Consider the following 27,755-nt stretch of genomic DNA (forward strand, 5'->3'; position numbering starts at 1 on the left):
TTCTCTCAAACTCTCTTCCCCCACAGCAATTACAGATCTGCTTTCTGTTACTATAAATTAGTTTACAGTCTCTAGATTTTTTATGTAAATGAAATGATAGTTTCTGGTACCAGTTTTAATGGCTGCTTAGTATTTCATTGTCTGGATGAACCATAATTTGTTAATTCTCTTTGCTAAATATTTAACTTGATTTCCCCCCCTGCCCTTATAGACTGTGTGTACTTCGATATAGCAAAATATATATACAAAGGTGGACATCTGAAGCCTTGAATCCTTAAGATAAATTTCTAAGAACTAAATCGAAGACTATGATAACTTTTTAAGACAATGTATATGCCAAACTATCCTCTAGACTAGTCATTTTACACTATCACTGTCTGTTCTTAAGAAAGTCATCCCTTCTCCAAGAATGAGTGTTATCTAAAAAAGGAATTTTTAAAAAAAAATGATGGAGCAAAATCAATATTGTTTTATTTACAGGTCTTTTCCCCCCACTAATGGTATCCTTTGGGAAGTATTTAAAGATGCTTCTTATAGACAACTAAGGCTACATACCCTCCTCTTAACATTTTAATGAGTAACTCTTAATGGTAGTCTAATTTATGGAAACTGTTAATGTCATATTTAATATGAACTGTTATTTTGATTGGTTTAAGTAATTGTCTTTTGTTCTTTTTGAAGGTTTGTTATTGAACTTTGTGAACCAATTCAAGTAAAACAGCTTGATATTGCAAATTATGAATTATTTTCTTCTACTCCTAAAGATTTTCTGGTTTCTATCAGTGACAGGTAAATTCTAAAGCTGTTTCTATAGGGTCTATGTTGGATCTCTGAAAAAAAGAAAAACAAAAAAACAAAAAAGTGGGTCACATTTTGACTTCAGTCCATTTATTTTTTAAAGGTCAGTTTGTAATAACAACGATAATACGACTGTATTGTAGGCTCTTGTTAATCACTTACCTTTTACCTTCATTAGCTCATATGCTTTAAACATAACCATATGATATTATTCTCTTATAATGTGGGGAAACAGAAAAGGGGAGATTAAGTGCCTTGCCCAGGTCACATGACTTGTGAGTTTTAGAACCAAGATTCAGAACTACAACTCTGACTTCAAAGTCCTCACTTGCAGTCATTATGCTGTCTTGTTTCTAAACATTTCTTTTAAAAGTTGTTAAAAACATACATGTGTAGGTGCTTTATGAGGTATATTTTTATTAAAATATATTCTAAAACTTTTTTTGTACATGTGTGATTATAAAAGAAATAAATATATGTTGTGAGGAATTTGGAATAGAACTGCATTTTGTCAACCAGAGATAGCCCTTATTAGCATTTTAATATATTTCTTCCAGTCTTTACTATGCACTTATTTATTAATTCTATAAAAATATGTACTTTTACATCCTGGAAATACTCTTTAGTCTTTTACACGTATCATTTTTAATGTGTACACATTATTTTTTGTTCAACAGAGATGTGAAATCATTTCATAAATACTTTTTGAGTGTCCACGATATGCCATGTAGGATGCTGTTTCTTTATGGAACTGTTATTTTGTCATTTAATCATTAAGGGTTTTCCTTGGTGTTTCTTCCTCCACCTCACACTCAGCACTGCATATATACAGTTTTTGAAATCGGTTCTCAAGACCTCTTGAGAATTCTGTTATTCTGCCGCTACCCTTGCTCAGTTCACTTCTTTTTCTCTCAGCTGCAATTTTCTTATATGTCAAATGAACATACACAGCTCTGATAAGTAAAGTGTATTTTTTTAACGTGGTGAGAGGGCTCATTATTTTGAGGAGTTCTTATAATGTTTCAGTAAACAGATATAATAGTTTTAGACTTTTATATTAAATACCAAAGTCTCCTTTAAAGGGGAATAGATATGTCAAACTCAGATGTGGTTTTAAAAGTTTTTTCTTCCCATTCTCTTTCCACCAGTACTTGTATTTATACTTTACATTATTACACACATGTCAGTATGTGAAGAGCTGTGCCACCTTCTTCCAAGACAGTCTCTTGGTGACTTTCTGTTATAAAACCTCCTCCCAAACCCCAAGAAGTGGTACTGGTCCTACTTTTTGTTAATGGTGTGATTTTTCAAGGCATTCTTTCCTGGTAAAGAGAAACCCGTCAGTTCAGTTGGAAAAGAAAATGTATTAAATGTATGTATTTATGTATTAAACTGTTAAGTCAGCGTGTTCACCTGGAAAGGAAAAAAATTATATTTTGAAAATATGATAGAACCTTTCAATATGTGGTTTATAATTTTTAAAAAAGAACATATTGCTTATATTTTTTAGATATCCAACAAATAAGTGGATTAAGCTGGGTACTTTTCATGGTAGAGATGAGCGGAATGTACAGAGTTTCCCTTTAGATGAACAGATGTATGCAAAATATGTCAAGGTAATGTTTACACATACAGGACTATGTTCTATAATGAAAATATACGTGTTATTCACACTTTATACACCTCATCTTTTTAGAAATCAGAAAAGTTAAGAAATAGACTACACTATACCACTTAATAGATAATTCTTACTTGGGTATATTATTTCATGAATCAAATATTGCTACATTCCCTTTTGCATTGCTGGAAGCCTAGGCCAGTTTTTTTGTTATTTATGGCCCTGATAAAATTCCAAATTATAACTATTTAAGTTTTTTGAGTCTTTATGCAAAATGTCATCTTCATAGTATATTTCTTTCTATTTTGAAACTGAAATCATTGCTGGTCACTGAAGTCTTTAAAGCAGATGTAATTTCTTGTTAGACTCTGATTCTTAGACCATTTCATCTTTAACGTCCACTTATTTGGCATTGTTACAGCTTTTGTCTTTTTCTTTGTATAGCCAAATGAAATATTCTGTGTCCAAGTACCAATTGCAAATAAAATAGAGTTTTAAACACTGGTGTTTTATATTTCCACTGCTGCTTCTACCAACTAATTAAGTAAAATTATCACTTTTGAATTGGGTTAGACAAAATAGGGAAAATTCTTACTCCTTCCTTTCCTCTTTTTTTTCTTTAAAATTATAGCCATACCTTAAAGTACTATTGAATTAATATTATGACATTTTTGGAATGGCAGCAGTTCTAATTTCTATCCTTTCTTCTTTAAATGTGAGAACTTATAGCTACCTAATTTTGTCTTCTGTGATTTTACCATCTCTTTTTAAAGCATGTTTTAAATTGACTTCTATAAATAGGTAAACTTGTAGTATTCTTAATCTCAGTATAAAAATGCTAAATTCTATTTTTAAAATAAAGTTGATATTCTCAGTTAATTCAAAATTATTAGTTCAAAAAAATTAAGGAATGTTTTCAATTCCTTCTAAAATGAGTACTGAAACAATTACTTAATTTTTTATACAGTACACTTTCTTCACTCTGAAGAGGCAAAAACGTTAAAAATCATTTGCTAGGTGATAAAATCGTATTTAATTTTGGAAGGATATTTTATTGGAAACATAAAGAATGCCTTATAAAACTTTCCACCTTGTTCCTTTTATGGTGGGAGATTATACAGCATTTTAAATATTAGTTTTATAAAAAACCTTCTTTGGTAGAATTGAGTCTAAAGGCAAGAAACATTTACTTACAGCTCATGAAAAGCAGAGAAAAATTACTTTCTGATTTTCATTTTATGGTAATAATGTTATGTAAGTTTTTTACCTGGATGTTCCTTATCTTAAAATAACTACACCCAAATCTACTACTTTTTAATAGCATACATTCGAAAGGCCAATTGGTATATATCTTCCACTTCTGTAAGTTGTACTTGAAATAACATAGCATACCAAAAATTCATACTTTCCCCGAAATAAGTTGTATATAATATACAAGTATAAATATCATTCCATAATGGACTGTTACCAATATGTATATGTGTAGAATATATATGTATATGTGCATATATATCAATATATAAATTCATATATGGATATATACTTGATACATGTCTGTAATACTTAAAGTAAAAGATTGTTTCTAGATACTGTTTATTAATTGCTTTTAGAATGCTTTCTATCTAACAGCTATATAAAATAACAGCAATGGCTTGTAGATTAGTTAACTTATAACCTTAAAGTTAATTTATTTCATTGCAATCATTTAGATTATACTCTCAGGTAGTGATGGCAAAAATTTAAATCATTGCTTTTATTTCTGCAAGGAATTAAGAATACTACAGTGTTATCCATCACATGACATTACTCTCTATACTTTATACAACATAATTTACAAATATTTAAAGATGCTTATTGCATGATGTCTAGACTTTGGAACTGATTTCTTTTTCTTTTCCTTTCTCTTGCTTCAGATGTTCATCAAGTACATAAAGGTTAGCAACCTTCTCTTTTGCACTATTAAATAACAGGGCATGGCGTATTAATGCATTACAAAAACTTTACAAGTATTGATTTTGGGGAAAATAAGGACTTTATAGAAATGTTTAGAAATGTTATAATGAAAAAACTGAGTATATTGTTAGATAATCTTACATGCTCTCTGCTGGCTTCCCATTTTATGTGCTTTTATTCTTTAGGTTGAGTTGCTATCACATTTTGGATCAGAGCACTTTTGTCCATTAAGCCTTATAAGGTAATGCAGAACAAAATACATTTATTGAGTTTTTAAAAAAATTGATATACAAAATTTTCGATATATTTAAAGTGAAGAAATAATTTTCTCTTACGTGAGTTAATACCATAGAAATAAAAACTGTGAAACCTTTCTTTTGAATGCATTTTGGAAAAATGTCAAAATATCCTCTTTTAAAAAAAAAACCTCATTTTGTATATTTGTTTTAACTTGCTTGCTATTTTGCTATGATGATAATACACAGAAACGTTTTAGACTGATATGAAAACTCATCCATTTAAATGCCTTAAATAGATTAGTTTTACATTTTAATTGAAACAGTAGATGACTTAAATGTAAGGAGCAGCCATTATTTTTGAGTCCAAAAGCCAGTGGCCCTCAAAATATGACCAAAGTTGATGTTTGTCATTTATTGTGAAGAGATTAGTCTTAACGAGTGTTTTGTTTTGGAAGTCTTTAATGAAATTGTTGTTGATAGGGTATTTGGCACTAGCATGGTGGAAGAATATGAAGAAATTGCTGATTCCCAGTATCACTCAGAACGCCAGGAACTATTTGATGAGGACTATGGTAAGTGACATCAAACAGATGACTGTTAGGTATATTTTTTTTACTTTTTAAAAATCGAATAGTAATGGGGGAGTATAGCTTACTTAAATCAATATGACTGTTGTCTTCAGGCTTTTGTTTTGTTGTTTTTAACTCTAATCAACTTTTACTTAAATCTGTTTTCTAATATGATTGCTTTGTATTCGTATTGCTTTCCAAGCTTATCTATCACTTATTTGTAACTGAAACTCCCTTCTATAACATTAATGGTATAAATTATGATTATATCCCTATGCCAGGGCCAAAAATCTGTTAAACTCACAAGATACTGAAATAGTAGAAATGAGCTTTAATGCCTGTGATTTCCCATGAGCCTAAGAGCAAGCACATTTTGGCTTCCTGTGAGCCATTGAGAAATCCTGTGACTCTAAAGAGTTAGAGGAAAGTTTTATGACACTCTCCATTTCCTCTTTAAGTCCTTATTTTAAGATGTGTTAAACTATTGTTTGAACAATCTAAATTTTCTCAAGAGTGAAATGAAGACATTGACTAAGAGTTGGTAAAGTATATTGAAAGCTTGAATAAAAACGTCTTATAAATGTGGTTAAAATTTTGGTAAGCATTACAGTTATTTTCCTTGGTTTATATTTGTTTGTTAAATGGTTTCTTAATCTTACATGCTTTTTGTGAACATGTTTTAGATATATGATTCATATTTATCATAAAATGTTTTAAATGTCAGCTGACTTTGACAGGACATAATTTGAGCTTTTAAATATGTTACCATTGGAGCTAGATCTCAGCATAATTACTTTTATTTTCGTTTTTAACAGATTATCCACTGGATTATAATACTGGAGAGGATAAATCCTCAAAAAATCTTCTTGGTTCTGCTACAAGTGAGTATTTTGAGGATTTTCTATTCATTCTACTACTTTTTCATTCTGACACACACAGACATTTTGTCATGGTATGGTTGAGGAGAATTCTCCCAGTGTTGAACTTTGAGTTGAAATAAAAGATACTGTCTTTTGAAAAGTATTTTTATAGAAATGCGATAAGAATATATGAAAAGAAAGAGGAGAGAGACAAATGCAATCGTAATAAAGGTGTTTCTTCTACTCTAATTAGGCGCTGACATTTTGGGACAGATTCCTTATAGTGAAGAAAGGGCTATGGATTTTCTTGGGGAAAGAATTATTAAAACAGTCATACCACAGTTAATCTATGGGTATGGTTAGTTTGCCATTTAGTTACAAAATATAAAGGGTGCTCCTACCATCATGATAATGAATACCAATAAGAATACTAGTAATAATATACTCCTTGTAAACTAAGAAACAATGAATAAGATATACTGGTGCTTTAGTTTGTTGTTATTCCAAAGTCGAATCCCAACCTAGTGGTAGGCTCACTAAGGAGACTACTAGAAAGACCATTACCTGACTGACACTTTATTTTTCATGGTTAGATTCTGTGTAGGTATATTTCAATGATGTTTTTGATTATTTCTGAAAAATGTAAAATTAACTACAAGTAGTTTTCTTTTTATTTGAAAATTATTAATCAAATTTAATAAAAACAAATCTTAGTAAAATCGAAGACTAGTTGCGTGTGCTTGTCACTTTTTGCTCTTAGTGAATTGAATTGTTGAATACCGATGTCTGTGAACATTGACTTTGTAAGTTTTTTAGCTATTCAACCAGTAGTCTAAATACTTAGGTTGATATTTTGTGTAGCCACAGTATATAGAGTTAAAATTACCTCTTTCATCTCTCCTTCTAGCCTTTTCTTTCTTTCTTTCCTTTCTTTTCTTTCTCTTCCTGCCTTCCTTGCCTTCCTTGCCTTCTTCCCCCTCCATAGAAGAGTATAGACCTCAGTGGACTTTTTAGGGGATGGGAAAAAGAGTGTTAAAAATACCTGTAGAAGGAAAATCTTTTGTGATTACAAAGTAATATTCAACTTTATTACATATCAGTTCAGTATATTTTGTTTTACTTTATTGCTAGGCTTCTGACTTTCTAGATATTAGTGATTACTTTTAAATAGGATTCCTAGCTATCTAGTTATTGATATAAAAATAAGTCTTATTCACTGCTATGTGATGTATTTTTTAGGAGTGAAAGAAATGTCTTATCTGTCTGGATATTAATGTTTTTGTTTCCCTTAATTTGCATTTTATATGTTACATAGTAGTCATTATTCTGCCATTTATGTAGCTCAGTAATGTTGAATTAGCTCTGAGGAAGCATTATTATTTTATGGGGTCAGAAAATAGCCCCAGACTAAAAGATCTCTAGCTTCTGGTAGGTACTGGAAAAAAGAGGACACCTTAAGGAAATAATGTCTTATTGTAGTTTCAGATAAAGGAAAAGTGTGTTGATATTCTGGATTTTCTTGCTATATCTTCCTATGTGGTTAACTTCTAGATGCCATTAAAACCTAACCATAGGCCAGGCACAGCGGCTCATGCTTGTAATCCCAGTACTTTGGGAGGCCTAGATAGGCGGATGACCTGAGGTCAGGAGTTTGAGACCAGCCTGGCCAACATGGTGAAACCCCATCTCTACTAAAAATACAAAAATTAGCCAAGCATGGTGCGTGCGCCTATAATCCCAGCTACTCCAGAGCTGACGCAGGAGAATCGCTTGAACCCAGGAGGCGGAGGTTGCTGTGAGTTGAGATCGCACCACTGCACTCCAGCCTGGGGGACAGAGTGAGACTCTGTCTCAAAAACAAAACAAAACAAAACAAAACAAAAACCTAATCATATATCAGGGGAAGACATTTCCCTGTTTGTATTCATGTCTCTGATCAGTATATCAATTAATTAGACATAGAATCTTGTTTAGATACTTCTGTTTGGATCTTTCTCCTTGAAGGTATATCACTTAATTTTCCTTTTACAGATCTCTGGGAGGGCAAGGTTATCTTCCAGTGTTCTAGGTATTGAAAGAATTTATACAGTGAGATAAGATGGGTGGGAGGATGTCAGCTGAGTCTCTAAAATGAGATTTAAAATGATCTCCACCTCCTGAAGTTTTAGAACAAGAGAGGCAGTAAGAGCTGAGTGATAAGACTTTATTGTCATAAAACTTTATAGACTTGGCCTAACACTGCTGCCTTCTGTATCTGTGTCCTTCTACTCTTCTCTGAAGTTTGGGACTGAATTAGCTATAGCCTCCAAGGTGGTATAACTTGAAGAAGTAAATAATAAAGTGGAATCAGAACTTCAGTAGTTCTGATTCAAAGAACTGGTCTTTGGCACAAGAATGTCTTGAGTTTGACTATAATCATCACTGCTTTCTAAATTAGCTTGAAATTGGCCCATTTTGAAACTAGTTTTTTTTCTTGTTTTTAATGTGTACATAGTATCCACAAGCTAGAATTGTCTTTAATCTTAATAGAAACTCCTTTTCTTTTTGCTCTCAAGTAGTTACTAGTTATAGGAAATATGTCACCAGAATACTTTGCCTGTGCTGAGAGTTGGATGTCAAAGAGCATCCACACTGCATAAACATTCTTGATATTATATAATTTACTTAACTACTAAAAAGGGAGAAGCTGTTATCTTAGAGCAGCATTCTTGGCTTTGTGTGTATGGCTTCCTGATTCTTTTGTTTACATTCTTGAACTAAAACATTTAAATCTTTTACATCAGCAAGATTTCTCCATATCACTCTGATTTTCTTGTTCTTTGTCATGTGAATTTGCCAGACCTCTGCCTACTTTGATATTGGCGCAGGTCTGCCTTTGCTCTTAAATATGTGGTTTTGGTTTTTGTTAAAATCACCCTATCTGCTAAAGGGAGATAGGTGCATGTGCATGTTGAAGAGAAAATGTAGTTTTTACTTCTCAAGTATTTTTTGTGGAAAAAAAGTAGATCCTAGAAGGACCATTTTCCTAGAAAATGTGGGCATGCTTCAGAGATAGTACACATAGGAGGAAGTCTTTTTTTGTTGGTTTATCTTCTGTTGTATTATATAAACTCTTCAACTTCAGCAGCCTGGAAAAATGTTTGTTTTCTTTATCAAAAAGAGACATTGGAGCACTGAAGACTGAGTAAATAATATGGAGATATTTGGTCTTTAGGACCAAATATTAGGAGCATTTTATTCCTAAAGGAATGAGGCGGGATGAATAAGTTGCCCAATTCAAAAATTTAAAAGTTGACTAATCCAGGAGAAATTAGGGATATTTATCTCTAGTTTGGCAATTATATTCAAAGATGTCATTTTAGTCTATTCTGAAAGTTTTTTAATGGCCAGATAATCATGGTGTATACAAACTATCATGTGTTTAGATACAAATTGAAAATAGAATAGAATATTCACAATTCTGCTTTCTCTCAAAAGACAAAAAAGATACATTAGGCAGTGTTCTGTAAACATGGGAAAATTATTTTAGGTTAAATGGGCTGAGAAGAAATTTGCTAAATTTTGCTTTTGTTACCACGTTTCCTGAAATGATGATAATAAATAATATTTTAAAAGGGTGAATAGAAGGATCTTTATTGTAGGTACTGGTGTTAAAATTTAGGTTCAGAAATAATACTGTAAAGCTACTTTCTTTACACAGATTAACACATTTATCTTCTTGAATTATTTAATAATGAATGTCAAAAAATTCGAAATCTCATATAAGATCTCACTTTGAAACAAAGTATATAAACTGTTGATTGCACAATTTGGGTTTTGTGAAGCAGTCAGTTTTGACTATAGGTGGCAGTGTAGGTGGGGCATCATAAATAATATTGCAGTATTGGTTGGCATTATAAAGGGTGTATGAGGAAATAACAGTTTCCATTCCAGACTTCATCTTGGTTTATGAGGGAATACGGAGTTTCCATTTTTGTTATCTCATACCGCAGCATCTCTTTAGCTTAAGTAAGAATTAAGGCCACTTCTGTTTATCAGTTTGCCAGGTCAAAGGGCAATATTAAAAATGTTATTTAAACATTTTAAAATGGCAAATATTGAGCCTTTGTGTGTTACAGTAATGATTAGAAACAAAGTACCACTGCTTTGTTGACTTTCAGCGTATACACTCATAATTTCGTGAAGATCAACATTATGGCTGATTCCTAGCTATCACTTTAAAGCAGTTTGAAATCTGCTACTATTTCTCCCATCCTGAAGCATATATTTACAGGATGAGCTCCAGGCAGCACTCTTTGGTTTACTTGCAACCTTCCTGATGTAGTAGATTTTTCTCTCTTAGATCCTTTTCTACTTTTCACATCTCTGGTTTTCATTGAAAATATGATGAATACTCTGTGGATCGCTTTAGGAAGGGAGATTAAGACAGAAATAATGTATGATGATTAATATGTAGCCCCTGCCAGATCTTAGTATTTTAATAGTAGGAGTATCTGATACCAAAGAATTAACTTCTAGTGGAATTTCAAAGGTTAGACTGGGAATGAAAGTTAATTTCACTTGAAATTACATCACATTACTGGAAGGAAGGTCTTCTATTCCCAGTACCATTTTTTATGGAGTTCTGATATTTTGTTATGCTCATGTATAAATATATCTATGTAGATATTGAGGTTTGTACCACTTTTTTCATGTAAATATCCTCCTTCAAAAGAGAAGTAGGGTTAGCAGGTATGCAAATTGCTTTTTACAACACTTTGTTTTATGACCTTGACTTTTCATTAATCTGCCCCATACCTGTCCCCAGCCAATTAACTAAAGAATTTGTATGCTTTATGATTTAAAAAGATTGCTGTTTTGGTCAATGAGTTTTTTAAAAGTCATCAAAGAGATTTGATTCTATGCAATATCAATTTAGAATTTAACCATATTACCATAGATATGATAGGCTAATCATTGAAAATGTTTTCTGCTTTTTTTTGGATAATCTCTGTTTTGTTTTTACCTGTGATAATCACATAATGTAGGAAAAGCATTTGCTTTTTTACACTTTTTTAAAATTTTAAACTGTAGAGAATTTTTAAAGAAAAATAGGTTTTTCTGTAAAATAAGAATTTTGGTCATCACATTTTTTTCCCTGTCCCAGTACAGACTGTATGTTGAGTTATACTTGAGTTTATAGTATGCTGAAGACAGTGTTTTGGTAAAGTGTCTAGGGAAGTTTTACAAGAAAAGTATATTTAAGGCCAGGCGCGGTGGCTAACAGCTGTAATCCTAGCACTTTGAGAGGCTGAGGTGGGCAGATTTCCTCAGCTCAGGAGTTTGAGAGCAGCCTGGGCAACACAGTGAAACCCTGTCTCTACTAAAATACAAAAAATTAGCTGGACGTGGTGGCATGTGCCTGTAGTCCCAGCTACTCGGGAGGCTGAGGCAGGGGAATTGCTTGAACCTGGGAGGCAGAGGTTGTTGCAGTGAGCCGAGATTGCACCACTGCACTCCAGCCTGGGCAACAGAGCAAGACTCCGTCTCCAAAACGAAAAGTATATTTAAATATAAAATTCCTTTTGAACATAAAAATTTAGATACACACTTTACACTTTTGGCTAAAATTTATTTGTGTCCTATATTGGACTTTAGTTGTGAGGTGAATACAAAAGTAACCAGTCAAAAAATGCAAAAGATCATTCTAAATGATTTTTTGACTATCTGATATTAATTTATATTAGAATATTTAGGTATTTGGTACTTTTTCTGATTGAATTTTGTTTTAGATGCCATTCTAAATATGGTGAATATTGCTGCTAATATTCTGGGAGCAAAAACTGAAGACCTGACAGAAGGTACCTAATCATTTTATGGGTCTTTTAAATAGCTGGTACTCCAGGGATCCTTATATTTAGGAAAATCAAGTAATGAGTTAAGAAAATTTGATTGTTTACATTTAGAAATATAGAAATAATTCAGAGGAACTTACCAATCTTTATTATTCATTGTTTATTTGAATTTCACAAGTTCTGTTTTATAAAAGAATACTGTCTATATAAAACTTATGAATTTGCCTTTTGACTTCTCCTAGCTCTAATATTAATAGCAATGATTTTATTCCTTATCTCTTTACCGAGATTTTGATGTCCTAATGGTACTTCAAGTATGTTATTCTTTTATGTGTTAAATAGCTACTTGATTTAGAAAGCCATCTTTTCCTTAGAGAATGACAGATGATAATATTTTTGGCAAGAAGAAACAGTCTTGCCTTTTTGTTTTTTTAAAAAATGCTTAGATCCAAGTGAACACTTAAAATGACTCATTTATTTCCTCTCATTTAACAACTCTTTCAGTATCTAGAAGGCATATTAATCACGTAAGGTTACACAACATTCATAGTCACCTGACTTGATTTAATTATCTGAGAAATTGAGAAACGATATATATTACTTGTGATCTTATATGATCATTTCTTCCTAAAAGAACTTTGATTTTTTAAGAAAAAGTCTGCAGTAGCAAACCTATTTGGCTTTTTTCTTCTCTTCCAAGAAATTTGTTTTAGTAAAATATTTTCATGGTACAGCTTTTAAAATTGAACTCAACATTGGGCATCTTTCTTAAAATAGGAAATAAAAGTATATCTGAGAATGCCACTGCCACAGCTGCACCTAAAATGCCTGAATCAACTCCTGTTTCAACTCCTGTTCCATCTCCTGAGTAAGTTATAATGTGATATTAAATAGAATTTTGTTACAATGGAGAGATAAGTATATTAGTATAAAAAAAGGAATTTGTGATTTGTGTGTGAAATGATTACCTGTAGAGAGCTCTGAATCATAGGATAGACATTCTGTGGCCACTTAGAAAATCTGAGTTGCTTCTTCCCATTAGTGTATATGCATACTGGGAATATAATTCAGATCAAACTTTTTTTGGGGGGGGTATTATATATTACTTTCATTATTCACAACAGTGACTCTTTTCCATACTGGAAATAATTGACCTTACTCTGCAGGTATAGGCTTGAGGACAAATTTTAAAGGCCCCCCCTTTTTTTTATTAAGTTCAAGTTTAAAAGCATTGATCTGTGGTATCCCTAGAAAGCTACCAAAATACCTAGAGCAGTGGTTCTTGAATAATGTATTTGCCACACAGCAAGCTCTTAACTGTTCCATTTCTCTGAATCATGTAGGCCTTTCCCCAGGTTGCAGTGGGGACACTTTGGGCAGGGATGTATCTAAATAGGTAATAGATATATCTTTTACCTTTTTTGTCTTTTCTGCCAGAGGTGGTTACTTTAGTTGGTACCTCTACTTCTTACCTATAATAAATAATAAGCTTATAATGATTTGGATAATCAGGTAGTTATTGTAGACTTAATTTATGTATATTTCATTAGATACACTCCCTACAAAACTTTGCAAGTCCTTTATCTTAGAACAACTCTACTTAAAGAGTATAAGATATTTGAAATGAACCACTTAGTTCAAGATAGTATGTAATGAGACCTGCAGTGGGTATGCTTTGAACTGCAATTCCTGAGAACTATACTATTTCAAAAATGATATTTTGATGCTTTGAAAGGCATAGTGAGAAAATTATATTATCCTGTGTTAATCCTGAAAGTTACTGGAGATATTTATTGGGTAATTAGAAAATATAGCGTATGTGTTATTGATTCTGAAAAGGACCTAAGAAATCTATTGGGGATAGAGACATTCTTGGTGTTTCTAATTATGTGGAGCTGTGATTGCTGTTCCTGATTTTGTAACTAGGTTTCTTCAGTTAACAACACGCTATGTCGTATTTTTCAAAACTAAATAAAACTGATTTGGTTTTTTATATATATATGTACACACTTTCATACACATATGTGCACAAGTAGGAATATTTGTTGAAAGCTGTAGTCACAGGCTAACGTAGCAGTTTTTATTTTTCCATATTAGTTTTTTAATAGATATTTTTGCATAATTTCTTATTCAGTATTTCTTCATGTTTGTCTTAAATTCTTTTTAATGCTTTTGAAGTAATCTTTTGAAGCAAATATGTGAAAATGAAGGAATCCATGATAGGATGTCACTGTTAAAGTTACGGAAAGCCAACTTATTTTCTTTTCCTAGGTTTTAGTAGGTTTTGCCATGTGAATTTGAGAAAAAACTTTTAAAGTATATTTCTGATTACAGTGTGTATGATGGGATATAACATCTGTATTCAGTATTTTTTACCAAATTCAATATAATTTTTCTCTCTCCCCTTCTTCAGACATTACTTGTTTTTACTGTCATAAATTATTTGGTAGAAAAGCAATATATTACCTGAATATGTAAGAAATATTATTAGAGACTAAATATATATGGCTATAAATATCTTTTTATTTACCGAAGTGTAGTCTAATTATGTTTTAATTTGGTCCATTTACTGTTTTACTACCAAAATGAAAGTCTACATCATAGATACTATTTTATTACTTTCTTCTGTCTTTGCTATTGTGACATTAGTCTTTATTTGAAGACATTTCCTGGCATGCTTAGTAATTTTTCAGAATGGGAAAATGTGTGTTTGAGCATAATTATTTTTGGTATTGAAATTACCATATTTTTTCATATTGGACTTTTTATGTATAAGGCTACACCCAGTAATTAACTATCTTTATCTTGGAAGGAATCACAAGCATTATAATTTATAACACTGTCCCCATAAGCTTCATCCCCCCACTCTCCTGTATGCCACATACATACTCCACAGCCTCAAAATGGGATAGAATATTAATAGTGGCACTAGTAGTTTAATAGCAGCACTGTTAGCATATCATAAGCCAGAATTGTTATTAAAGTGGTTAGGTATTTGGCTTAGAAGATTAGCCTAGATGATAGCAAAATTATTTTAGGAAGGGAGATATGTTTCTTGTCCTTAAAGTAGATAATCCTATGTGTGTAGGTGTGTGTGTGCGTTGTGTGTTTAATGCTGTATTGGAGTTCCTCAAATCATTCTTAGAAAAATTATGTTTGAGACCAACCTAGCTGCCTTTTGAAAATAGGGTATTCAAGTACAAAGTGCACTCATAAATATTAAGAATCCTAGATTCTAGTTTTAGCTCTGGACCTTATTTAAGCTAGTTTATTAAGCTAGCTCTTAGTTGGCTTAATTTCTGATGTGTAAGGGATAGTGAAGCTTGTAAAGATTCAGTGAATATTTATGAGAGGAAAGGAACACTACATTCAGTGAATGGAAGTATTCACTTAGAAACAATTCTTAAACAGATTAAAAGAAAGCAAGTTTGATATGGTAAATATGGTGGTTTGAGTCATCTGGCTAGTCACTTGATAAATAGTATTTCTCTTATCATTTCTGAGCAGTATTTGTTTTTATAATAAAAGTGTTTTGTAGGTGAAACATTTATCCAAAAACAAATTTCTTCTATATTTCCAACCTTTTATCTTCTGTATGGATACATTTATTTTTCTTTAACATATTTCAACTTTAGACTTCTAAGTAAGTGATTTATAATTATGATATATGTATTTCTAGGTATGTAACCACTGAAGTACACACACATGACATGGAGCCGTCAACACCAGATACTCCAAAAGAGAGTCCCATTGTACAGTTAGTTCAAGAGGAGGAAGAGGAGGCAAGTCCATCTACAGTGACCCTTCTGGGCAGCGGTGAACAGGAAGATGAATCATCACCCTGGTTTGAGTCAGAGACACAAATATTTTGCAGTGAACTGACCACAATTTGTTGTATTTCTAGTTTTTCAGAATACATATATAAATGGTGTTCAGTTAGAGTTGCTCTTTATCGGCAGCGCAGCCGAACTGCTTTGAGTAAAGGAAAAGATTATCTTGTGTTAGCTCAACCACCCTTACTACTTCCTGCGGAATCAGTAGATGTTTCAGTATTGCAACCTCTGAGTGGAGAATTGGAAAATACGAATATAGAAAGGGAAGCTGAAACTGTTGTTCTGGGTGATTTAAGTAGTAGTATGCACCAGGATGACTTGGTGAATCACACTGTAGATGCAGTTGAACTTGAACCAAGCCATTCTCAAACTCTTTCTCAGTCTCTTCTTTTAGATATTACCCCAGAAATCAATCCCTTGCCTAAAATAGAAGTATCTGAGTCTGTTGAATATGAGGCAGGACATATACCATCACCAGTGATTCCCCAAGAGAGTTCTGTTGAGATCGATAATGAAACAGAACAAAAGTCTGAGAGCTTTAGTTCTATAGAGAAACCATCTATTACCTATGAAACAAATAAAGTTAATGAGTTAATGGATAATATTATAAAAGAAGATGTGAACTCCATGCAAATTTTCACAAAGCTGTCTGAAACAATAGTGCCACCAATAAATACAGCCACTGTACCCGACAATGAAGATGGGGAAGCCAAAATGAATATAGCTGACACAGCAAAGCAAACTTTGATTTCTGTTGTGGATTCTTCTTCATTACCTGAAGTAAAAGAAGAAGAACAGTCTCCAGAAGATGCCCTTTTGAGAGGGTTACAGAGGACAGCTACAGATTTTTATGCTGAATTGCAAAATTCTACAGATCTAGGATATGCTAATGGAAATCTTGTACATGGATCAAACCAAAAGGAGTCAGTATTTATGAGACTTAATAATCGTATTAAAGCCTTAGAAGTTAACATGTCTCTCAGTGGTCGCTATCTGGAGGAGCTTAGCCAAAGGTAAGCTTTATTATGAATTAGCACAGTCAGCTTCACACAGTGAGTTAAGCAGCATAGAGTATGACCTGTGATTACAGGAGAGGATTTAATTATCTCATGATATAATAGAGGTAAGCGCAATTTTAGCAAGAGAGAGAAAGAAAGCTACTTGAATGCTGATCAGTGCCTTAATGAATTGATTTTTTGTTTTTAATTTTAAAAGTACTTTCCAGTGACAAAACACTTTTATTAGGCTGGCAACAAGTTTGAATTATCTATACTCACTTTCACCTTTTTTCGGTTGCTTAACTTTAGCCACTTTTTCTGCTTGATTCCCAGAGGGCTCATGGAAAAAAATGATAGTATATAGACCTTAAAGCTTTTAGTGGAATTTGACCAGATATCACTTAAGAGTTTAGATAAGTGAAGACAGAGATGGACTGAACTGGATGATTGGGCACATTTGCAGTTTGCTCTCTTTTAAACAGGTCTCGGCATCCTAGTTCTAGTTGTAATAATTTCTGCTTTTAAGTGCCAGAGACAGTGCCAATTCATTAAGACACCAGGCCTGGCTTTTTAAACCTATTTACTCTTTTTTTTATCCTCTGTGTGTCCATTGTCTGTCCTTAGGGCTTCTCTACCAACGTTTTGCAAACATCTAGGCACAAGTGTCCAGAGTTCCTGAAACACCACCTTTTCTTACATCTCTTAAATTGAAATGCCACTAATAAGGTGTCACCAAGGCAGTCTTATATCTGAAGTAGGAAATTTTTCTAATCCATACATAGAATTAATTGGCTAATCATGTGTGTGTGTGTGTTCATGTGTAACATGCCCACTTAGCTACCCCATACCTGCTCTTACTTTTCCCTACCTCCATCTGCATCCCAAGGGAACCACAGAAATTACTAAATTTTACATAGCAGAAGATAAATAGAATTGTATTGCATAGGCCTGAATAAGAGTCACTTTCAGAAAAATAGATTTGTCTCATATATCAAAATCAGAAGTATGTTTCCATTACTAAGTGGAATAAGTAAGAAATTAAAGCTGATTTAGACCAATTCTTACTTCATAGGTACCGAAAACAAATGGAAGAAATGCAAAAGGCTTTCAATAAAACAATCGTGAAACTTCAGAATACTTCAAGAATAGCAGAGGAGCAGGTTGGTTTCTACATCCCTTATTTACTTTTTATATAAATTTCCACTGAATTCTGTAGGGTCTCACTGGTAAACAGTAAGTATTGTAGTTTCACTTTTTCCCCCTGCTAGCTGGTGTTTAAGCCTGTTATATTAATGTGATGTCATGTTTGGAAAGTTACATAGCTATTAGCATCATTATCTTCTGTAGAGAAAGATTTGTTTAATTTTTTTTTTAATTATACTTTTAAGTTCTAGGGTACATGTGTACAACGTGCAAGTTTGTTACATATGTATACAAGTGCCATGTTGGTGTGCTGCTGCTGTACCCATTAACTCGTCATTTATATTAGGTATATCTCCTAATGCTATCCCTCCCCCCTCCCCCCACCCCACAACAGGCCCTGGTGTGTGATGTTCCCCACCCTGTGTCCAAGTATTCTCATTGTTCAATTCCCACCTATGAGTGAGAATGTGCAGTGTTTGGTTTTCTGTCCTTGTGATAGTTTGCTCAGAATGATGGTTTCCAGCTTCATCCATGTCCCTGCAAAGGACATGAACTCATCCTTTTTTATGGCTGCATAGTATTCCATGGTGTATATGTGCCACATTTTCTTAATCCAGTCTATCATTGTTGGACATTTGGGTTGGTTCCAAGTCTTTGCTATTGTGAATAGTGCCACAGTAAACATACGTGTGCATGTGTCTTTATAGCAGCATGATTTATAATCCTTTGGGTATATACCCAGTAATGGGATTGCTGGGTCAAATGGTATTTCTAGTTCTAGATCTCTGAGGAATCGCCACACTGTCTTCCACCATGGTTGAACTAGTTTACAGTCCAACCAGCAATGTAACAGTGTTCCTATTTCTCCACATCCTCTCCAGCACCTGTTGTTTCCTGACTTTTTAATGATTGCCATTTTAACTGGTGTGAGATGGTATCTCATTGTGGTTTTGAATTGCATTTCTCTGATGACCAGTGATGATGAGCATTTTCTCATGTGTCTGTTGGCTGCATAAATGTCTTCTTTTGAGAAGTGTCTGTTCATATCCTTTCCCTACTTTTTGATGGGGTTGTTTGATTTTTTCTTGTAAATTTCAGTTCTTCGTAGATTCTGGATATTAGCCCTTTGTCAGATGGGTAGATTGCAAAAATTTTCTCCCATTCTGTAGGTTGCCTGTTCACTCTGATGGTAGTTTCTTTTGCTGTGCAGAAGCTCTTTAGTTTAATTAGATCTCATTTGTCAATTTCAGCTTTTGTTGCCATTGCTTTTGGTGTTTTAGTCATGATGTCCTTGCCTATGCCTATGTGCTGAATGGTATTGCCTAGGTTTTCTTCTAGGGTTTTTATGGTTTTAGGTCTAACATTTAAGTCTTTAATCCATCTTGAATTAATTTTTGTATAAGGTGTAAGGAAGGGATCCAGTTTCAGCTTTCTACATATGGCTAGCCAGTTTTCCTAGCACCATTTATTAAATAGGGAATCCTTTCCCCATTTCTTGTTTTGGTCAGGTTTGTCAAAGATCAGATGGTTGTAGATGTGTGGTATTATTTCTGAGGGTTCTGTTCTGTTCCATTGGTCTATATCTCTGTTTTGGTACCATTACCATGCTGTTTTTGTTACTGTAGCCTTGTAGTATAGTTTGAAGTCAGGTAGCATGATGCCTCCAGCTTTGTTCTTTTTGCTTAGGATTGTCTTGGCAATGTGGGCTCTTTTTTGGTTCCTTATGAACTTTAAAGTAGTTTTTTCCAATTCTGTAAAGAAAGTCATTGGTGGCTTGATGGGGATAGCATTGAATCTATAAATTATCTTGGGCAGTATGGCCATTTTCACGATATTGGTTCTTCCTACCCATGAACATGGGATGTTCTTCCATTTGTTTGTGTCTTCCTTTATTTCCTTCAGCAGTGGTTTGTAGTTCTTGAAGAGTTCCTTCACATCCCTTTTAAGTTGGATTCCTAGGTATTTTATTCTCTTTGAAGCAATTGTGAATGAGAGTTCACTCATGATTTGGCTCTCTGTTTGTCTGTTATTGGTGTATAGGAATGCTTGTGATTTTTGCACATTGATTTTATATCCTGAGACTTTGCTGAAGTTGCTTATCAGCTTAGGGAGATTTTGGGCTGAGATGATGGGGTTTTCTAAATATACAGTCATGTTATCTGCAAACAGGGACAATTTGACTTCCTCTTTTCCTAATTGAATACCCTTTATTTCTTTCTCCTGCCTGATTGCCCTGGGCAGAACTTCCAGCACTATGTTGAATAGGAGTGGTGAGAGAGGGCATCCTTGTCTTGTGCCAGTTTTCAAAGGGAATGCTTCCAGTTTTTGTCCATTCAGTATGATATTGGCTGTGGGTTTGTCATAAATAGCTCTTATTATTTTGAGCTACATCCCATCAATACCTAGTTAATTGAGAGTTTTTAGCATGAAGGGTTGTTGAATTTTGTCAAAGGCCTTTTCTGCATCTGTTGAGTTAATCATGTGATTTTTGTCTTTGGTTCTGTTTATATGATGGATTACATTTATTGATTTCCATGTGTTGAACCAGCCGTGCATCCCAGGGATGAAGCCAACTTGATCGTGGTGGGTAAGCTTTTTGATGTGCTGCTGGATTCGGTTTGCCAGTATTTTATTGAGGATTTTTGCATCAATGTTCATCAGGGATATTGGTCTAAAATTCTCTTGTTTTGTTGTGTCTCTGCCAGGCTTTGGTATCAGAATGATGCTGGCCTCATAAAATGAGTTAGGGAGGATTCCCTCTTTTTCTGTTGATTGGGACAGTTTCAGAAGGAATGGTACCAGCTCCTCTTTGTACCTCTGGTAAAATTCATCTGTGAATCTGTCTGGTCCTGGACTTTTTTTGGTTGGTAGGCTATTAATTATTGCCTCAATTTCAGAGCCTGTTATTGGTCTATTCAGAGATTCAACTTCTTCCTGGTTTAGTCTTGGGAGGGTGTATGTGTCCAGGAATTTATCCATTTCTTCTGGATTTTCTAGTTTATTTGCGTAGAGGTGTTTATAGTATTCTCTGATGGTAGTTTGTATTTCTGTGGGATTGGTGGTGATATCCCCTTTATCAATTTTTTTGCATCTATTTTTTTCTTCTCTCTTTTCTTCTTTATTAGTCTTGCTAGTGGTCTATCAATTTTGTTGATCTTTTCAAAAAACCAGCTCCTGAATTTATTGATTTTTTTTTTTTGAAGGGTTTTTTGTGTCTCTGTCTCCTTCAGTTCTGCTCTGATTTTAGTTATTTCTTGCCTTCTGCTAGCTTTTGAATGGTTTGCTCTTGCTTCTCTAGTTCTTTTAATTGTGATGTTAGGGTATCAATTTTAGATCTTTCTTACTTTTTCTTGTGGGCATTTAGTGCTATAAATTTCCCTGTACACACTGCTTTAAATGTGTCCCAGAGATTCTGGTATGTTGTGTCTTTGTTCTCATTGGTTTCAAAGAACATCTTTATTTCTGCCTTCATTTCGTTATGTACCCAGTAGTCATTCAGGAGCAGATTGTTCAGTTTCCATGTAGTTGAGCAGTTTTGAGTGAGTTTCTTAATCCTGAGTTCTAATTCGATTGCACTGTGGTCTGAGAGCCAGTTTGTTATAATTTCTGTTCTTTTACATTTGCTGAGGAGTGCTTTACCTCCAGCTATGTGGTCAATTTTGGAATAATTTTGTGGTGCCGAAAAGAATGTATATTTTGTTGATTTAGGGTGGAGAGTTCAGTAGATGTCTATTAAGTTGGCTCAGTGCAGAGCTGAGTTCAAGTCCTGGATATCTTTGTTAACTTTCTGTCTTATTGATCTGTCGAATGTTGACAGTGGGGTGTTAAAGTCTCCCATTATTGTGTGGGAGTCTGAGTCTCATTGTACATTGTAGGTCTCTAAGGACTTGCTTCATGAATCTGGGTGCTCCTGTATTGGGTGCATATATGTATTTAGGATGGTTAGCTCTTCTTGTTGAATTGATCCCTTTACCATTATGTAATGGCCTTCTTTGTCTCTTTTGATCTTTGTTGGTTTAAAGTCTGTTTTATCAGAGACTACGATTGTAACCCCTGCTTTTTTTTGTTTTCCATTTGTTTGGTAGATCTTCCTCCATCCCTTTATTTTGAGCCTGTGTGTGTCTCTGCACATGAGATGGGTCTCCTAAATACAGCACACTGATGGGTCTTGACTATCCAATTTGCCAGTCTGTGTCTTTTAATTGGAGCTTTTAGCCCATTTACATTTAAGGTTAATATTGTTATATGTGAATGTGATCCTGTCATTATGATGTTAGCTGGTTATTTTGCTCGTTAGTTCATGCAGTTTCTTCCTAGCCTTGATGGTCTTTACAATTTGGCATGTTTTTGCAGTGGCTGGTACCAATCGTTCCTTTCCACTTTTCGTGCTTCCTTCAGGAGCTCTTGTAAGGCAGGCCTGGTGGTGACAAAATCTCACGTTTGCTTGTCTGTAAAGCAGTTTGTTTCTCCTTCACTTATGAAGCTTAGTTTGGCTGGATATGAAGTTCTGGGTTGAAAATTCCTTTCTTTAAGAATGTTGAATATTGGCCCCCACTCTCTTCTGACTTGTAGAGTTTCTGCCAAGAGATCCACTGTTAGTCTGATGGGCTTCCCTTTGTGGGTAACCCGACCTTTCTCTCTGGCTGCCCTTAATATTTTTTCCTTCATTTCAACTTTGGTGAATCTGACAATTATGTGTCTTGGAGTTGCTCTTCTCGAGGAGTATCTTTGTGGCGTTCTGTGTATTTCCTGAATTTGAATGTTGGCCTGCCTTGCTAGGTTGGGGAAGTTCTCGTGGATAATACCCTGCAGCATGTTTTCCAACTTGGTTCCATTTTCCCCGTCACTTTCAGGTACACCATTCAAATGTAGATTTGGTCTTTTCACATAGTCCCATATTTCTTGGAGTCCTTGTTCATTTGTTTTTACTCTTTTTTTCTCTAAACTTCTCTTCTCGCTTCATTTCGTTCATTTGATCTTCAATCACTGATACCCTTTCCTCCACTTGATCGAATTGTCTACTGAAGCTTGTGCATGAGTCACGTAGTTCTCGTGCCATGGTTTTCAGCTCCATCAGATCAATTAAGGTATTCTCTATGCTGTTTATTCTAGTTAGCCATTCGTCTAATCTTTTTTCAAGATTTTTAGCTTCTTTGTGATGGGTTTGAACATCTTCCTTTAGCTCAGAGAAGTTTGTTATTACCAGTTGTCTGAAGCCTACTTCTGTGTACTTGTCAAAGTCATTCTCCATCCAGCTTTGTTCTGTTGCTGGCGAGGAGCTGCATTCCTTTGGAGGAGAAGAGGCGCTCTCATTTTTAGAATTTTCAGCTTTTCTGCTCTGGTTTCTCCCCATCTTTGTGGTTTTATCTTCCTTTGGTCTTTGATGATGGTAACGTACAGATGGGGTTTTGGTGGAATGTCCTTCCTGTTTGGTAGTTTTCCTTCTCACAGTCAGGACCCTCAGCTGCAGGTCTGCTGGAGTTTGCTGGAGGTCCACTCCAAACCCTGTTTGCCTGGGTATCACCAGTGGAGGCTGCAGAACAGCCAATATTGCAGAATGGCAAATGTTGCTGCCTGATCCTTCCTCTGAAAGCTTTGTCTCAGAGGGGCACCCGGCCCCATATGAGGTGTCAGTTGGCCCCTACTGCGAGGTGCCTCCCAGTTAGGCTACACGGGGGTCAGGGACCCACTTGAGGAGGCAGTCTGTTCATTCTCAGATCTCAAACTCCATGCTTGGAGAACCACTACTCTCTTCAAAGCTGTCAGACGGGGACGTTTAAGTCTGCAGAAATTTCTGCTGCCTTTTGTTCAGCTATGCCCTGCCCCCAGAGACGGAGTCTACAGAGGCAGGCAGGCCTCCTTGAGCTGCGCTGGGCTCCACCCAGTTCGAGCTTCCTGGCTGCTTTGTTTACCTACTCAAGCCTCAGCAATGGCAGATGCCCCTCCCCTAGCCTCACTGCTGCCTTGCAGTTCAATCTCAGACTGCTGTGATAGCAGTGAGCGAGGCTCCGTGGGCATGGGACCCTCCGAGCCATGCACGGGATATAATCTCCTGGTGTGCCATTTGCTAAGACCATTGGAAAAGCACAGTGTTAGGGTGGGAGCGTCTCAATTTTCCAGGTACCATCTGTCACAGCTTCCCTTGGCTAGGAAAGGGAATTCCCTCACCCTTGCACTTCCCGGGTGTGGCGGTGCCCCGCCCTGCTTTGGCTCACACTCCATGGGCTGCACCCACTGTCCAACAAGCCCCACTGAGATGAACCCAGTACCTCAGTTGGTAATGCAGAAATCACCCGTCTTCTGCGTCGCTGATGCTGGGGGCTGTAGACTGGAGCTGTTCCTATTCGGCCATCTTGGAACCTTCCAAGAAAGTTTTCTTTAGCATTATTCATAGTACATTGTGTGTGTGTGTTAAATAGAAACATAGAGGACTTTCCTGCAACTTTGTTAAACTCTAAAATATTTTTGTTTGTATTTTTTTTAATGTAGATAATCTTATTGACTGCAAGTAAGAACGGCTTTGTTTCTTCTTTTTGATCGTCATACCTTTTTTTTCCCCCTATCTCTTGGCTAGAGCCATATAGTGATACAATAGGACTGGTAATTATGACCGTTCCCCTATCTTGCTGATTTTAAGGGAACTATTCTAGTATTGCACCTCTAGTGTGATATGTGTGTTGTCACATAATAAAGAAATTTTACACTTTTCTAAAAGGTTATTTGGGTCTCGGGGATGGTGAAGTGAGGAGGCCTTATACTGCGGAGTTTTGTTAGGTGCATCTTACTTTCCTATTCATGGCACGTTATAAATTGGAGATACACTTTGCAAATATTTTCTCCCAATCCATTACTTGTTTTCTTATTCTCTTTACAGTGTGGTTTGAAGAGCAGAAGTTTTTGATTTGTTGAAGCCCAATATATCAGTTTTCTCTTTGCTCTATGAAATATTTGCCTAACGCAAAATCACAAAGATTTTTTCCTTTGTTTTTTCTAGAAGCTTAATAGTTTAGTTTTATATTAGGCCCATGATTCATTTTGAGTTAACTTTGATGTGTTACAGGGTATGGATCAAAGTTCTTTTTGGAAAGTCAGGGTTAGAAGAGCAAAGCATATAGACATCCATTTGTTCTAGAATCATTCGTTGGAATGAGCGTCCTTTCTCCACAGAATTTCCTTTGTATATTTGATAAAAATCAGTTAACCATATATATGTGGGTCTGTTTCTGGGCTTTTGTTCTATTGATCTGCTTGTCTATCTTTAAGGTAATAACACAATGTTATGTTTGTTGTAGCTTTATATTAACATTTTTAGTCAGCTAATGTTAAGTCCTCCAATTTTATTCTTTTACAAGATTGTTTTGGCTGTAGTAGTTTTTTGCGTTTCTGTGTGGATTTTAGGCTCAGCTTGTTAATCTCTACCAAAATTGAATCTTGATTGAGATTGTGTTGATGAATTTATAGATTAATTTGCATAATGTCATCTTAATATTAAGGCTTCTGACTCATGAACGCAGTGTGTTATTTAGCTTTCATTAGTTTGAATACGAAAGCCCCTTCCTCTGTATTTTCTCTTTGCTGATATGTAGCATCTATGTCTTGTGTCTCAAAGACTTATGTGAGTACTTTTCAACAATGTTGTATATTAATAGTATTGGAAGTTAATCCTGATTAGAAGTGTTAATCAACTTACTAACTTTAATAGCTTGTCCTTTAAATGTTTATAACTGTCTTGAATTCATCAGAGTCAAATGTAAGTCAGGATTCAAAAGAAACAATTTAAAAAGTCACATTTAGCATTTTGGAAAGATGAAGTAGGATAGAAAGTACCATAGTGGATCACAGTAAGGGAAGTAAGTGAAATATTTTGTTACAGTTTTATACACCCCCCCTCTCCACACACAGGTACACAGCTTTTTAAAAAAGTTTTTGAATCAAAATATGAAAAACTTAGGTCTAGAATAATAAATAGCTATGTAGATATTTCATATAAGGTCCTAAAAGAGTTTTAGATTTCCTTGACTTCTTCCTGCCCTCGTTTCCTCCTCCCTAACTTTATTAAAAGTTCAAATTTTCGACCATCCTGGCTAACACGGTGAAACCCCGTCTCTACTAAAAATACAAATAATTAGCCGGGCATAGTGGCGGGCACCTGTAGTCCCAGCTACTCGGGAGGCTGAGGCAGGAGAATGGCATGAACCCGGGAGGCGGAGCTTGCAGTGAGCTGAGATTGCGCCACTGCACTCCAGCCTGGGCGACAGAGCGAGACTCCGTCTCAAAAAAAAATAAAAGTTGAAATTTTCAGTTAAAGTCTCCCTAATACAGGGTCATAACTATGATTGTGATGTAGAATTCCCTAAAGTATGCATACAAACTATATTATAAATAAGACATCTTTGTTGATTATAAAAGTTTCTAAAATTCAGTGCTGCCTAAAACAGATGGAAAGATAGGCATTTTTGATGCATTTCTTTCATTGGTGATATTTTAGCATTGGTTGGATGAACAATTATGGATATTTCACTATGTACCATCCTAAGTTCCAATATAATATGCTATGAAGGAAATTTTTAAAACTTGGTTTTGGGCCTACTTTATAACCAAAAAAATTCTTCAGAAAATTTTCAATTTGTCTTTGCGCCAACTGCTTTGCTTTAAAAACACTGACTTCTTAAATATTTCTGGTTATATGCTAGTTTATATATATGGAACACATGTTAATTTGAAAAGTAATTTACCAAATTCTGTTATACAGTATTTCACATTGTAGCAGTGGGTGACAAAAATAAATAAATAATAATTCTTGTTGGGGAGGGTTAGACACGGTCCCAGATACTTCGTGTTTTGTTTATTTCTAAAATTTCTGTTCAAAGTTTACTTACTCATTGAGATTCCTATTAATACATTTGTTTTGGAATAACTTAATGGTTTTTTTTAGATTATTTGACTTCAATTTATAATGTTAATAGTTTGTAGTTAATATTCAAAAAAAAATAAATTCCTTTATCATAGGATCAGCGGCAAACTGAAGCCATCCAGTTGCTACAGGCACAGCTGACCAACATGACACAGCTTGTTTCAAATTTATCAGCAACAGTAGCAGAATTGAAACGGGAGGTAATTGTTATTGCTGGTATTGCGAGACCCAATGCATGTATAGAGGTTGTCATAAAGCCAGGCTTGTTAACATGAACATGGTACCTAAAACTTTGACCAAACAAAATTGTCATTTGTAGTGAACTTTTTCAAAAACCAGAATATGGCATTTTTAAGTTTTGAAAATATATTATCATAGTCTTTTGTAAAATATGGCTTTCATAATTTAGGCCATACCTATAATATAGGTATAAAACTTCTAGCAGGCCTTTTGTAAGCATTGATAGTAGCAACACGTACTTCATTTTCAATTCAAAAAGGCCTATAAAGTTGCTTAACAAAGCAAACATTTCATTGATTTAAAAACTTTTTATTGAGCATCTAGTGTATGTGAAGTGCGAGCTGTACACTCCTAGGTTGTGGTATACGGTAGTTAATAGTCCCTGGCCTCACAGGGTTTACGTCCTGGGGGAGGGATAGAATACATTTAGTAAATAAATAAATAGATGATAATTTCTCCTAGTGATACGTACTATGAAGAAAATTAAATGTGTGTGTGTGTGTGTGTGTGTGTGTGTGTGTGTAGGGTGGTAGCAGTAAGGGATGCTGCTTTAGTTAGAGTGATCTTGGAAGGCTTATCTGAGGAGGTGGTATTACAACTAAGTACTCAAGAGGAGTTAGCAGCCACACATTGCCTGGAATGATAACAAACCTGTTTCTAGCAGAACTAGGGCAAAGGACTGGAGAGTAGAAACAGTGTAATGTGTTTGACAGCAGAAAGAAAGCTGGTATGGCTGGAGCAGAGTGAGTGAGAAAA

General features: G+C 34.8%; 1 protein-coding gene across 8 annotated transcripts in view; it reads left to right on the forward strand.

Moving 5' to 3' along the window:
* Positions 1-27,755, forward strand: part of SUCO (SUN domain containing ossification factor) — a 79,485-nt gene that overhangs the window by 40,861 nt on the left and 10,869 nt on the right. For 3 of the 8 annotated variants that reach the window (XR_007060764.1, NM_014283.5, XM_006711375.3), the window contains 11 exons: positions 682-789; positions 2,309-2,414; positions 4,330-4,350; positions 4,555-4,610; positions 5,089-5,180; positions 5,993-6,058; positions 11,809-11,877; positions 12,649-12,739; positions 15,551-16,717; positions 17,775-17,862; positions 26,855-26,959. Coding sequence is in view for 7 of the 8 variants with exons in the window: in NM_014283.5 (NP_055098.1) it covers positions 682-789; positions 2,309-2,414; positions 4,330-4,350; positions 4,555-4,610; positions 5,089-5,180; positions 5,993-6,058; positions 11,809-11,877; positions 12,649-12,739; positions 15,551-16,717; positions 17,775-17,862; positions 26,855-26,959 (1,969 nt within the window). In the remaining variant the exon portion in view is untranslated. The remainder of the gene's footprint in view (positions 1-681; positions 790-2,308; positions 2,415-4,329; positions 4,351-4,554; positions 4,611-5,088; positions 5,181-5,992; positions 6,059-11,808; positions 11,878-12,648; positions 12,740-15,550; positions 16,718-17,774; positions 17,863-26,854; positions 26,960-27,755) is intronic. The other 5 variants (NM_016227.4, XM_006711374.3, XM_006711376.2 and 2 more) reach the window with 3 other exon arrangements.

Source organism: Homo sapiens, chromosome 1 (assembly GCF_000001405.40).
Source record: "Homo sapiens chromosome 1, GRCh38.p14 Primary Assembly".
Taxonomy (NCBI): Eukaryota; Metazoa; Chordata; class Mammalia; order Primates; family Hominidae; genus Homo; species Homo sapiens.